Raw genomic sequence first — 14,234 nt, forward strand, 5'->3', positions numbered from 1 at the left:
GACAAGGTTTCTCCATGTTGGTCAGTCTGGTGTCAAACTCCTGACCTCAGGTGATCTGCCCACCTCGGCCTCCTAAGGAGCTGGGATTACAGGCATGAGCCACCATGCCCAGCCTGAGACCCTATCTTTAACAAAGAAGAAGAAGAAGAAGAAGAAGAAGAAGAAGAAGAAGAAGAAGAAGAAGAAGAAGAAGAAGAAGAAGAGGAGGAAGAGGAAGAGGAAGAGGAAGAAGAAGAAAGAAGGAAGAAGAAGAACAAGAACAAGAACAAGAAAAAGAAGAGGAAGAGGAAGAAGAAGAAATGCTGCCTTTGAGGAGGCTGGCAGCTTTCTCCTGGGTCTCCTGGAGCATTGAGCAGGTCTATCTTCAACCCTGATCACCTGTAGTCTTGAGTCATGATATTGCCCTTCACCATTGGACTCCCAGCATTGCTTAGTGCTGAGCCCAAATAGGTTAGCACAGACCCCAGCATTGGTGTACTCTTTCCCTCACCCTTCTGCATTTCCCAAAGCAACTGACCTTTCTGCTGGGCTAGGCTTTACTTCCCAAACTCCTCCCAGTGGTGATTTTCTTGCATCCTATCTAGTCCTGCACTTGCCCTTGGAATCCCAAGGCAAGTTTAAATGTAGGTTAAGCTTCTTTTCTCTTTTGATTTTTTTTCTTTCTTTCTTGTATTGGTCCGTTCTCACACTGCTACAAAGAAATACCTGAGACTTGGTAATTTATAAAGGAGAGAGGTTTAATGGACTCACAGTTCCACATGGCTGGGGAGGCCTCAGGAAACTTACAATCATGGTGGAAGGTAAAGGGGAAGCAAGGTTGGACTTTCTCACATGACCACAGGAGAGAGTAGTGCAAGGAGAAAAGGGGGAAGAACCCTTATAAAACCATCAGATCTCATGAGAACTCACTCAATATCATGAGAACTGCATGGGGGAAACAGTCCCCATGATCCAAACACCTCCCATCAGGTCTCTCCCTAGACATGTGGAGATTATGGGGATTACAATTCAAGATGAGATTTGGGTAGGGACACAGTCAAACCATATAATTTCCCTTCCTTCCTTCCTTCCTTCCTTCCTTCCTTCCTTCCTTCCTTCCTTTCTTTTTTTGACAGAGTCTCGCTGTGTTGCCCAGGCTGGAGTACAGTAGCATGACCTCAGCTCACTGCAGCCTCAATCTCCCAAGCTCAAGTGATCCTCCAGCCTTAGCCTCCCTAATAGCTGAGACCACAGGTGCACACCACCATACCTAGCTAATTTTTTAAATTTTTTTATAGAGATGGAGTCTCCCTATGTTACCTAGGCTGGTCTTGAACTCCTGGGCTCAAGCAATCCTCCAGCGCTGGCCTCCCAAAGTGTTGAGATTACAGATGTGAGCTACCACACCTGACCCCATTTGATTTTCTTAGGGTAATCTGAGTCCCTGTCATTCTTCTCCCCTACCACCTTAACCCCTCCTTGAACAGGTATCTCCAGTGGGCACCAGCAGGGTCCACTGCATCAGTCCTGGTGCTCATGTTTCTAAGGTGACAGTGTGCTCCAGGCTTGCCCTATTTCTTCTATCCCTGAGTCTGATTGCTCCTGAATCCCTTGGATTCCAGTTGTTGCCCCAGTTACTACTGCAGGCCTTTTATCTTCTGCAAGCTGCTCTCCACTCTTTTTCTCTTGACTCATATTCTGGATCTTCCCAAGAAAGTCCTAATCCCTGGGTGGAGCCCCATGTCATCAGTGATGAATATTCTGGAAATGGATCAAGGCAAACTGCATGGGATGATTCGAGGAACAAAGGAGAAAACCAAAGGGGGAAGGATGCTGCCACACCCAGCAGTGTGCCAGGCCCCATCCTCCCCTCAGCCCCCTTCTCCTCCTGGAAGACCAGCCCGACCCAGCAGGCTTCTCAAATGGGGATGGAACCATAACACTCCCTCATCATCTTCCGGAATCCAGCTAGGAGCAAGAAGCCACTAAACCCCCCATTGTACATATAGGGGAACTGAAGCTCAGAGGAGACGTTTACTTTGTCTAAGTTCATAAAACTAGTTATATGGCACTTGGATCTCCTAACTTCTAATCCATTTCATTCTTTTTTTTGTTTTGTTTTTTTTTTTTTGAGACAGAGTCTCTCCCTGTCCCCTAGGCTGGAGTGCAGTGGCGCCATCTCGGTTCACTGCAACCTCCACCTCCCGGGTTCTAGCAATTCTCCTGCCTCAGTCTCCTGAGTAGCTGGGATTACAGGTGCCTGCCACCACATCCAGCTAATTTTTGTATTTTTATTAGAGACGGGGTTTCACCATATTGGTCAGGCTGGTCTCGAACTCCTGACCTCAGGTGTTCCACCAGACTCGGCCTCCCAAAGTGCTGGGATTACAGCCGTGAGCCACTGTGCCTGGCCCCCATTTTGTTCTTAACGGTACTATTTTTCCATGTTTGAAAAGGTCATGAATCATGTCTTAGGAAGTCCTCTGGTGATATTTTGAATAGTTTAGAGTGCCAGATTCTGAACTCAGTTGAGATGAATGAAACACAGCTAATCTTGCTCTAAGGAAATATGCATTCCTGCAGGAAAGGATATGTTAGTTCAGTCTATTAAAAAATTGTTTTATGTAACACCAACTCTGGATAAGATGTAGATGAGAACCTGCAGAAAATGCAAAATGAAGGGAAACAGGGTCTCATTTTACACTTAGGGTGTAGCAGACGAGAGAAGATACGTACAACTGAGGCTATCGCCAACAATTAAAGGGCAGAACACAATGCTGAACATGGGTTACAGGGATTAATTGCCAGGAGGGGTTGAGAAGACTAGGATGTATCCAAACTCTCTATGTCCTGGTATCCCCATCCCAGAGAAACATTCCCACAGGCCAATAAGGAGACATGTGTGAGATGCTCACTGTAGCACTGCTTGTAGTGCCTGGGAGTTGGAAGCAACTTAAGAATGGATAGTACATGTGGTGTGTGGATATGATGGAACACTATGCTGTAAAAAGTCCACATGGCAACATGCACAGGTCTTAACTACCACTGAGTGAGCAAATAAATAGAATAAAAGCTTTTCTTTTCCTTTCTTTTTTTTTTTTTTTTGAAATGGAGTCTCGCTCTGTCACCCAGGCTGAACAGCAATGAAGCAACCTTGGTTCACTGCATCCTCCCCCTCCTGGGTTCAAGTGATTCTTCCACCTCAGCCTCCTGAGTAGCTGGGATTACAGATGCTCACCACCACGCCTGGCTAATTTTTGTATTTTTAGTAGAGACGGTTTTGCCATGTTGGCCAGGCTGGTCTCAAACTCCTGACCTCAGGTGATCCGCCTGCCTCGGCCTCCCAGAATGCTGGGATTACAGGTGACAGCCACTGTGCCTGGCCCGAAATAGAATAAGATTCATAGCACAAAATCAATTATGTAAATTAAGAACACACACACACATCCATGAAATAATATTATGAATCTTTTCCAGGAATCTGCATATATCTCTGTAGGCATATGGAAGGCAAACTGGAAGCAAAGATACTAATGCACTGAAGTGAGTATCTATGGTGAATGGTTAACAGGAGTGAGGGCAGAGAATGAGAGGGAAAATAACAGAATAAAACACATGCCTCATGCAGACCAATGACTTAATGAATATGATTAGCTCTGCACATCCAAGGAGCAGAAATAAAGTTATTTAAGAGAAGTAAAGGGACCTTCACTTTGGGGAAAGGGTTGAGGCAGGAACCTCCATGAGGAAGACAGACCCTGACCCAGTCAACTACCACCTGATCTTTCCCTGCCAAACCCATGTTTCCAATGTCTGTCGGTTTCCAACTCCAGCCTAGATGACAGAGCGAGACTCTGTCTCAAAACAAAACAAAACAAAAAACATAGTGCAGAGCCTGGCACAAAATAATAGCTGTTTTTATTTAGTTGTTTGTCTTGAGGTGAAATTCATGGCCCTGGAGGGGACACCCAGCAGTCTGGATCCTCACTGCAGCTTAGACACTGATCTATGGTGTGCCTGGGCCCTGCACCCTTCTCTTCCTGTGCCCCAGGGCCCATTTCAGTCTCCTCTATTTCCACTCACCCTTGGGATCTGCCTGGGCAGTACCTGCCCTTAGCACCAGATCCCCAAGCTCTATAACCTTGGAGGTCCTATACATTGAGACTAGGGTGAGAGCTGCTTGACCCTCAAATTACAGCGTCCCCTTCCCCTTCAACTGCTTGCCATCCTCATGTTCTAAAGAAGAAAACCTAGCACTGCAAAGCTGGGCTCTTTTCTCCTTAAAATGCCAAAGGAGATGAGCACAGTGGGGGCTCCTGTCTAAATCTCTGTCTCCCCTCTGCAGCACTATTTGTGATGGGAATTCTAAAGCAATTTATCACCGTAATGATTGCTGATTCCAGAACGTTATGGTGACTGATGGCCGTGCTAGCTGGAGCTTGTCTTCCCAGTTTTCTCTTTTACTAAAGAGTAATTGTGCAGAGTTGGTGGTAGATGATGGTGGCTCAGAGATGTGAGGTGAGAGAAGAAAGTCACAGCTCAGCTTGTCACCAACACTGGCGCAGGAGGGGCAGAGGGAGGTGTGCAAACTAATAGCTGAGAAGGCTCATAAAGAAAATTCAAACTCTCTGCATTTAGGTGGGTTGTTTGATCCCTGACTTTCCCAGTGCCTCTGACATACCCTCTCCAGGCAAAGACATCCCCTACTGAAATGGGGAAAGACATGACAAATGTTAGCTGAGCATTAGAAGAATGGTAGATCAGGAAGACGCTGTTCTACATCAACCTCATGGACAGACCAAGAGAAAATACAGCTGAGCCACTGCAAGATGGATTAAAGTTGGCTTAAGAAAGACACTCGTCCAGCTAAGAAGCAGTCCAAGGTGCAACTTATTATTCAAGGAAACACTCCAGACACCTCTTTTGAGTGGAGGAGACCATCCCTGCCAATCCCTGGGGAATGGTGTCCGATCGTTTTTGCTTTGCAACTTTCTAGGAAGCTCAGGGTAACATGGAGGCGGGGGAGCTGGGTTAGAACTTCAGGGCCTGTGTGTCCTCTGAGCATCCTGCCCTTGGGACTGCTGATCAAACTTTGGGGGTCTCCTCACCCCTCCACAGCTCTGGCACGAGTGTGGGATTAAGGGCTGTTGTGGGTTGAATAGTGTCTCCCCCAAATTTATATCCAACTGGCACCTCAGGCTGTGACTTTATTTGGAAATAAGGTTGCTGCAGGTATAAGTAAGTCTCTCAAGAATAAATCATCCTGGCCGGGCACAGTGGCTCACGTCTGTAATCCCAGCACTTTAGGAGGCCAAGGAGGGCAGATCACCTGAGGTCAGGAGTTTGAGACCAGCCTGTCCAACATGGCGAAACCCTGTCTCTATGAAAACCACAAAAATTAGCCGGGCGTGGTGGCGGGTGACTGTAATCCCGGCTACCCAGGAGGCTGAGGCAGGAGAATCACTGGAACCCGGGAGGCGGATGTTACAGTGAGCGGAGATCACACCACTGCACTCCAGCCTGGGGGACAGAGCAAGACTCCGTTTCAGAAAAAAAAAAAAGAATAAATCATCCTGGATTTAGGGTGGGCATGAAATCCAACAACTGGTGTTTTTTTGTTTTTGTTTTTTTTGTGTTTTTTTTTTTAATAGAGTCTTGCTCTGTTGCCCAGGCTGGAGTGCAGTGGAGCAATCTCGGCTCACTGCAATCTCTGCCTCCCCGGTTTAAGCGACTCTCCTGCCTCAGCCTCCTGAGTAGCTGGGATCACAGGTGTGCACCACCACGCCCAGCTAATTTTTGTATTTTTAGTAGAGAGGGGGTTTTGCCATATTGGCCAGGCTGGTCTCCAACTCCTGACCTCAAGTGGTCCACCCACCTCGGCCTCCCAAACTGCTGGGATTACAGGCGTGAGCCACCGCACCCAGCTGAACCACTGGTGTTCTTATAAAAAGAAGAGAAGACACATGGAGGAGAAAGCCATGTGAAGACAGAGGCTGGAATTGGAGTGACACATCTGTAATCCGAGGAATGCCACAGATGGCAGGTGGCAGCCAGAAGCTCGGAGAGCAGCATGGAACTGACTCTGCCTTAGAGCTTCCAGAAGGAGCCAACCCTGCCAACACTTTGATTCCTGACTTCTGCTCTCCAGAACTGTGAGACAATACATTTCTGTTATTTTTTTATTTTTATTTTTTTGACACAGAGTCTTGCTCTGTCTCCCAGGCTGGAGTGCAGTGGCACTCTCTCGGCTCACTGCAACTTCTGCCTCCCAGGTTCAAGTGATTCTCCTGCCTCAGCCTCCCGAGTAGCTGGGACTACAGGCACGTGCCACCATGCCCGGCTAATTTTTTGTATTTTTAGTAGAGACAGGGTTTCACCTTGTTAGCCGGGATGGTCTCAATCTCCTGACCTTGTGATCCGCCTGCCTTGGCCTCCCAAAGTGCTGGGATTACAGGCGTGAGCCACTGCACCTGGCCACATTTTGTTACTTTAAGCCCCATGTTTCTGGTAAATTATTACGCCAACTTTAAGAAACTAATATAAGGGAGTTGGGCAAAGGGGCTGCAGAGAGACCCAGTCTTCTTGGTTGCAGAGAACCCTAACCATATCACCTAGTTCAGTGACCCGAGTGTTACTGTCTCCAGCGCTGCCCAGGAGAGCATCTTCAGAAGTCAGAGAGTCTATCAATGTCACCCCCCCCCCAAGTTTCTTCTCCCGCATGCCCACTTCAGGCACACACAAACCCCACTTGAGGCTGGGTTTGGTGGCTCACGCCTGTAATCCCAGCACTTTGGGAGGCTGAGGCAGGTGGATCACCCGAAGTCAGGAGTTCAAGACCAGCCTGGCCAACATGCTGTCTCTACTAAAGACACAAAAATTAGCCATGTGTAGTGGTGGATGCCTGTATTCCTAGCTACTCGGAAGGCTGAGGCAGGAGAATCACTTGAACCTGGGAGGTGGAGGTTGCAGTGAGCTGAGGTCACGCTGTTGCACTCCAGCCTGGACGACAGAGAGAGACTCCGTCTCAAAACAGAAACAAAAACAAGGAACCCCACTTGAACTGCCACTCAGTGGGGACTTCAGTCAGGCCAAGCCCGGGGACTGCCCACCTCCCCTTTGTGACACCACATCTGCTCAGCTCACATCTTCTGGTCTCAGTTTCCCTGGTACCTTCCCCAGGCTGCCTCCTCAGAGGCTCAGTCAAACAGATGAAGCCCAGACAGGGACCATCCTCTATGGACTCCTCCACTGCCTCACTTCTCAACCATGGCTACCAGTCACAGAAAACACCCATTGGCCTCTCTAGCCTGGGGGAAGCAGAGAATGGCTAGGTGCAAGGCTTAGAGAGGTCAAACCAGTGGAAACCAAGATCCCAGCCCTCAAGACAGGGACCTCAGGGAAACCCCCAGTCATGGCACCCATATAGAGAAGACACTCTTTTACCTATTTGCTTTTTCTTTTCCTTTTGGCTGAGTAGACATTCCAGTAGAGAAGGCATTGTTTTACCCATTGTCCTCATTTCCCACCGTCAAGGCATCTGGGAAATAATCCCTCCTTTAAAGGGGGTGGATGTGCCTATGTGATGTTCGGGAAGAACATTCAAGAGTAGACAAATGGCCAAATGCCAGGGCCTTTCTAAAGGCCACCTACGTGATGCACTACCACTTAGGAACAAGCCGGGGTCTCCTGAGTCATTCTCCCTTCCCCATACGCTCTTCCCCTTGGTTGGACAGTTTGCCCCCCTCATAATCAGTTCTTAGCCATTTATTGGGGCATCTTGTACTTATTTCATTCTCAAAGCTGCTTGACTTCTCCCTAGAGCTGGGGCCTGCAGGGCAGCGGGGAACAGCCCTTGAGACTCATTCTTCTCCTTCCTGCAGAAGAACGGGTGGACTCCCAGCTCTGTCGTCTGCCAGGGGAGCTCAGAGCCAGAGGAGTGGGTGGGCACTGTCCTCTCTTCCTGGGCATGGGCTGGGTGTGGGGATGTGGAGTCTAACGGAGGGCCTATTCTCCATGTATTGCTGCTGAGGCAGCTGAAGGTGGAGAAAACTCCAGGGGAGGAAGAGGTGGGGCAATGACCATGTTGGAGAAGAGCTTTGAGAGACTGAGCAGATAAATGGACTCAAGATAAATGGACTCTCTCTCCCGAGTCACCATGCATCAGGGCAGCTGATGGGGAGGAGGCAGAGTGACCATACCCTGGAATCTTTGATTTCCTGTGGGTGGAAAGGCAAGTCGAGCTTGACAAACTCGTCCTGGGAGGTATGGAGCACGCAGGCATAGGGGGACGGGAAGGGCCACACTCAGGAAGCTAGGGGGCCATGGTCCTGGCAACCATCTGTTTCACTGCAAATTTTCTGCTTCATGGTCCCTCACCACACCCCCAAGTGTCTGTCAGACTGTATGTCCCAAGCTTACTGCAGGAATGTGGCCACCGAAGCGTGGCTGTCTTCCTCCCACCCACAGCTGGTCAGAGCCTGAGCGAGACTAGAACTCTGGCCTCTTCACTCCCAGCCCAGCACCCCTTCCTCCACTGACTCATCCAGGAGACTGTGAACACAGGGGCCCCACAGCCTCTCAGCTCTCTTCTCCTGCCTGTCTCCTGCTCCCTAAATACATTCAACACCCAGACAGGGAATGGCTGCTCCAAGAGCCCCCCAAGGTCCCCTTCCCTGGTGTCTGAGTTGTGCCAAGGGCAGGCTGCATGGCCACCACTAAAGTTCCGTTGCAGGACTGGGGTAGCATTAGGGTTGTTTGGTTTTAAAAATGTATGCAAAAATGTCTTCAGAACCTCCATATTCTCAGGTAAAAGAATTCCAGTGCCCAAGATAAGAGGGACCAGGGAAGGGGATGGGTCTAATTAGATCCAGAGGCCTATGCTTTAGAAAAGGGCCAGGGGGCTGTCGAGAATTGCTGGGCATAGGGCTGGGCACAGTGGCTCACGCCTGTAGTCCCAGCACTTTGGGAGGCCGAGGTGCGCAGATCGCTTGAGTCCAGGAGTTTGAGACCAGCCTGGCCAACATGGCGAAACCCTGTCTCTACCAGAAAAAGAAGAAAAAATGCAAAAATTAGCTGGGCATGATGATGCATGCCTGTGGTCCCAGCTACCAGAGAGGCTGAGGTGGGGACATTACTTGAGCCTTGGAAGTCTAAGCTGCAGTGAGCCAAGATCTCACCACTGCACTCCAGCCTGTGTGACAGAGCGTGACCCTGTCCCAAGGAAAAAAAAAAAAGGAATTGATGGGCATAAGGCCAGGCACGTGGTGCTCATGCCTGTAATCCCAGCACTTTGGATGATTGAGGTGGGTGGATTGCTTGAGCTCAGGAGTTCAAGATCAGCTTGGGCAACATGGTGAAACTCTGTCTCTAAAAAAAAAAAAAAAAAAAAAAAATTCGCCAGGCTAATGTGGTGGTGCATGCCTGTGGTCCCAGCCACTTAGGGGACTGAGGCAGGAGGATTGCTTGAATTGGGGAGGTCGAGGCTGCAATGAGCCGAGATCGTGCCACTGCACTCCAGCCTGGGTGACAACGTGAGACCCTTTTTCAAAAGGAAAAAAGAATTGCTGGGCATGGGTCTTACTGGAGCTCTGGGGTGCTGCCTCTAGGGCAGGTGGTCTGAGCACGTTCACTTGGGAGGTGAACTTGCAGTAGGGGAGACAGTCTCACTAATTAGTAATAAACATCTTTATTTCTTTTCTTTCTTTCTTTCTTTTTTTTTTTTTTTTTTGGTGACAGAGTCTCTCACTGTTGCCCAGGCTGGAGTGCAATCGTGCGATATTGGCTTACTGCAACCTCTGCCTCCCCGGTTCACGCGATTCTCCTGCCTCAGCCTCTCTAGCAGCTGGGATTACAGGTGCACACCACCACGCCCAGCTACTATGTGTATTTTTAGTAGAGACGGGATTTCACTATGTTGGCCAGGCTGGTCTTGAACCCCTGACCTCATGATCTGCCCGCCTCAGCTTCCTAAAGTACTGGGATTACAGGAGTGAGCCACCATGCCTGGCCCAACGTCTTTATTCCTTAATGAACAGTCTCCGTCATCCACCTCCGACTTAGTTCAGTCTCCTGCTTTCTAGGAATGGAGCTGTCCCAAGGTTTCGTGGCTGGTGAGGGGAGGAGAGACACCCACTCCTTGCTTCCTTACCAGTCACGTCACTCTAAGGTAGAGAACCTGGGAGCGTGGGATTCTGGTTTTCCTTGGGTTAGTTTGGGGAAGGTGAGTCCTTAAAGCTGCCGGGATAACAAAATAAGGGAGTGGAAGGTAGAGGAGACAAGTCAGCTTGATAAGAAAGAGAATAAGAGGCGTCAGAATCCTCTAGAAGGCAGATCTCTTGCTTCCCTTATCCGAGGGGCACCTCTGCGCCTTCCTTGCTGCTGAGTTCCTTCTCCATTCCTGTGGGCCAGGGACAGGAATGCTGAGAATGGTTCAACATTTTATCCTGAGCTATTTTGAGGGAAAAAAGAGGGGGGACAGAGCTGAGTGGTGGAGCCCAATCACTCCCTTCTCTCTGGTTCCCACCATCCCCTCCCCCACCCATGTTTTCGAGTTGCCAAGGAAACCGCACAGCCTATCTGCATCTTCTGTTTTGTTCCTGTCAAAACCATGAAACTTTCTAAGGCCAAATCAGTGGGAGCTCTGTCAGAGTTGGTCAGCAAGGAGAGGCCGCTCCAGCGTGAAGCCTCCTGCACGGATGCCCTCCCACACAGCTGTGCATGCACACACGCACACGCGTGCACACACAAGCACACACCACCCCCACACACCCGCACCTCCAATCAGCCAGCCCAACCACCGGGAGGAGAGAAAAATGGAAAACAAATAGGGAAAAAAATCCACCCTGCCCACCCCACAGAGCCACACACCCACACTACTTCCATCCCCCTCTCCTCTGAGTCTTGCAGGGCTGGAGAAGTTTGGCACCCCAGGCAGCTCACCCACTCCAACAGCACCCTGCCACCTCCGGCGTGGTGGCTCCAGAGACAGCGTGCCAGTCAGGCTACCCTAGGAGGTGAGTCCTGGGAGCAGGAGGAGGCAGCAAGCAGAGAAAGGGATATGGAGGAATAGCCCCGTAGTTCCAGGCAGCAGTCACAGAGTGATGTGTGACCTTGCAAAGGTCACCTAAATACACTGCTCAATGTCACTGAGACACAAGCTGCTACATCGAGTAGTGAGTCCTCCATCACTGGAGGTATTCAAGCAGGTGCTGAATGCCCATCTTTACAGGAGGCTCCTATAAAGAAGACTCCTACTTCAAGTGGGAGCTTAGGCCAAATAATCCCTGAGGTTCTGTTGGCAGGAAGATTCCAGAATCCATGGTTTAGAGCCTTTGTGTGCCACAGGACCACTTAGCACATGATGGCCTAGGGGCTGAGGGCAGGGGGTCACCCCTTCCTCCATACACAAGCATTCACCTATGCAGCTGACCTTCCCACTTATCAGCCAGGAGCCTAGCCATTGCTTTTCCTGGAAGGCTTACGTGGGTTCAAGAGTAGATGCCTAAGGAAAACCCAGCAGGGCCAGGCTTGGTGGTGCACACCTGCAATCTCAGCACTTTGGGTGGCTGAGGTGGGAGGATTGCTTGAGCCCAGGAGTTTGAGACCAGCCTGGGCAACATAGTGAAGCCCTGTCTCTACAAAAATTGTAAAATGTAGCTAGGTGTGGTGATGCGTGCCTATAGTCCTAGCTACTTGGGAGGCTGAGGTGAAAGGATCACTTCAACCCGGAAGGTTGAGGCTGCAATGAGCCGTAATTGTGCCACTGCACTCCAGTCTGGGTGACAGAGCAAGACCCTGCCTCGAACAAACAAACAAAAAAACCAAGGGAGGATTTCTGGGCATGAGAATTAGAGAGGCTAGCGCAACCAGCTTCGGGTGAGGCCCTGTCCAGAAAGCCGATTTCTGCCTGAAATAAAGACAGGATCGTGTTTTGAGAACCAGCTAAGAAAGTGGCCTTATTTTCTCAAAGATGAGGAACTGAGAGAGGTGGTCTCGCTGGCCAGGGGAGAAAGGGGTTGTCATCAGGAGAAGAAGGCAAAGTAGAGGCAATAATGTAAGCTCCTTAGGATCAGGGAGAGTGCTGGGTCCTAGAATCCAGACCCCTGGGAACTATTGCCCCACCTGTGCTCTGCACAATGGTGCCCACGGAAGGGGTGAACTGGGGCTGAAATCCAGCCAACCAGTGCCTCCTGTAGGACAGAGGCTGCCTGGAGGAGGGTCACCATCAGTTCTTTTTCCTGATCCTCTCCCTCCTACCACCCCACCCTCCGGTAGGCCCCAGTGTGTGTTGTTCCCCTCGACGTGTCCATGCGTTCTCTCATTTAGCTCCCACTTATAAGGGAGAACATGCAGTATTTTGTTTTCTGCTCCTGCGTTAGTTGGAGGCTCCTTTTTCTAAATCTCACCCAGGGTCAGTAGCGGCCCTGCTCACACCCATCGCACTGATCTTCCCATAGGAAGATCATCATCAGTACCCTATGATCTTCCTAAGGTACTAGCCTTACTGAGACCCTCCCTACTTAAACTCTTCAGTGGTTGCCCGTTTATCCTAATGGGAAAAAGGCAAATTTCTTAGCCTGGTTGACAGGGCCCTTTATCTTGTACCTCTCCCTGCCCATCTCCATCTTCCCAGTCTTTTTTTTTTTTTTTTTGAGACGGAGTTTCACTCTTTTTGCCCAGGCTGGAGTCCATTGGTGCGATCTCAGCTCACCAATGCACTCCTCTGCCTCCCAGGTCCAAGCAATTCTCTCGCCTCAGTCTCCCGAGTAGCTGGGATTACAGGTGCCCACCATCATGCCCAGCTAATTTTTTGTATTTTTAGTAGAGACGGGGTTTCACCATGTTGGCCAGGCTGGTCTTGAACTACTGACCTCAGGTGATCCGCCTGCCTTGGCCTCCCAAAGTGTTAGGATTACAGGGGTGGGCCACCACACCCGGCCCCCAAGTCTTTTTAACATTTTCCAGTGCTCCAGCCACATCACCCTACCTACCTTCCCCCAAATTCTGTATTCTACACTGCCCAGCTTCCTCAAGGTTCTTTCCAGCCTAGATCAGACAAGGAACTCAGTTGTGAACAACAGAAACCATCTCTCACTAACCAGCAGACAAAGAATAGTCTGGGCCAGGCTCAGTGGCTCACGCCTGTAATCCCAACACTTTGGGAGGCTAAGGCGGTGGATCACCTGAGGTCAGGAGTTCAAGACCAGCCTGGCCAACATGGTGAAACCCCGTCTCTACTAAAAATACAAAAATTAGCTGGGCATGGTGGCGGGTGCCTGTGATCTCAGCTACTCAGAAGGCTGAGGCAGGAGAATTGCTTGAACCCAGGAGGTGGAGGGTGCAGTGAGCGGAGATTGCACCACTGCACTCCAGCCTGGGTGACAGAGTGAGACCCAGTCTCAAAAAAAAAAAAAAGAATAATCTAGAAAGTTAAATTCTGTTAGCTCAAGAGTTGATGGGCAGCACCTGCCCTCAAAGTCGGGAACCAAGGGATGCTGGTGGCAGAGAACACTCCAAGATCACAAGACAGGGAGCACCTTGTTAGGGCACTGCTGCTGGTTCTGCCCCTCACCATCCACACCACCCCCAACACTAGATACTGTTCCTGAAGGAGTCCAAAATGACCACCACTGCTACGAATGACTGCTCCTGCCCAGGTCCCAAAGATCCCAATGGGAGCACCAGATTGGCTGAGCTCAGCTTCCAGGGCCCATCCTCACCCCACCCTCACTCTGCCCATGCCACATTTGTGGCGGGGGTTCGGGGGGAGCAGGGAGACACAAACCCTGCCCTCATCAGCATGTGGTCAAAGGTAGAATGCTTCCCCAACTAAGACTCCTATAATGAGGAATTCCCTCCAAAATAGGAAAGTTGCTCAGTACTGGACAATCAAAAACATGACAAGTGTCAACTCCACTGTCCCTGTCTGCCTCATCAATTCCTATTCACTCCTCGAATGAACTCCTGTAAAACCTCCCTCCAGGCTGGGCACAGTGGCTCACGCCTGTAATCCCAGCACTTTGGGAGGCCAAGGCAGGTGGATCACCTGAGGTCAGGAGTTCAAGACCAGCCTGACCAACATGGTGAAACCCCGTCTCTACTAAAAACACAAAATTAGCCAGGCGTGGAGGTACACACCTGTAATCCCAGCTACTTGGGAGGCTGAGGCAGGAGAATCACTTGAACCCGGGAGGTGGAGGTTGCAGTGAGTCGAGATCGTGCCATTGTACTCCAGCCTGGACAACAAGGGAAAAATT

General features: G+C 50.1%; 1 annotated feature.

The window, feature by feature from the left end:
- Nucleotides 10,203–11,085: an enhancer, noted in NCBI's record as "H3K27ac-H3K4me1 hESC enhancer chr1:203541106-203541988 (GRCh37/hg19 assembly coordinates)". NCBI's record gives its function as "activates a minimal SCP1, AML or CMV promoter by ChIP-STARR-seq in naive H9 embryonic stem cells {active_cell/tissue: H9 hESC(naive)}" and the evidence as "EXISTENCE:reporter gene assay evidence [ECO:0000049][PMID:30033119]".

Source organism: Homo sapiens, chromosome 1 (genome assembly GCF_000001405.40).
Source record: "Homo sapiens chromosome 1, GRCh38.p14 Primary Assembly".
Lineage (NCBI taxonomy): Eukaryota > Metazoa > Chordata > Mammalia > Primates > Hominidae > Homo > Homo sapiens.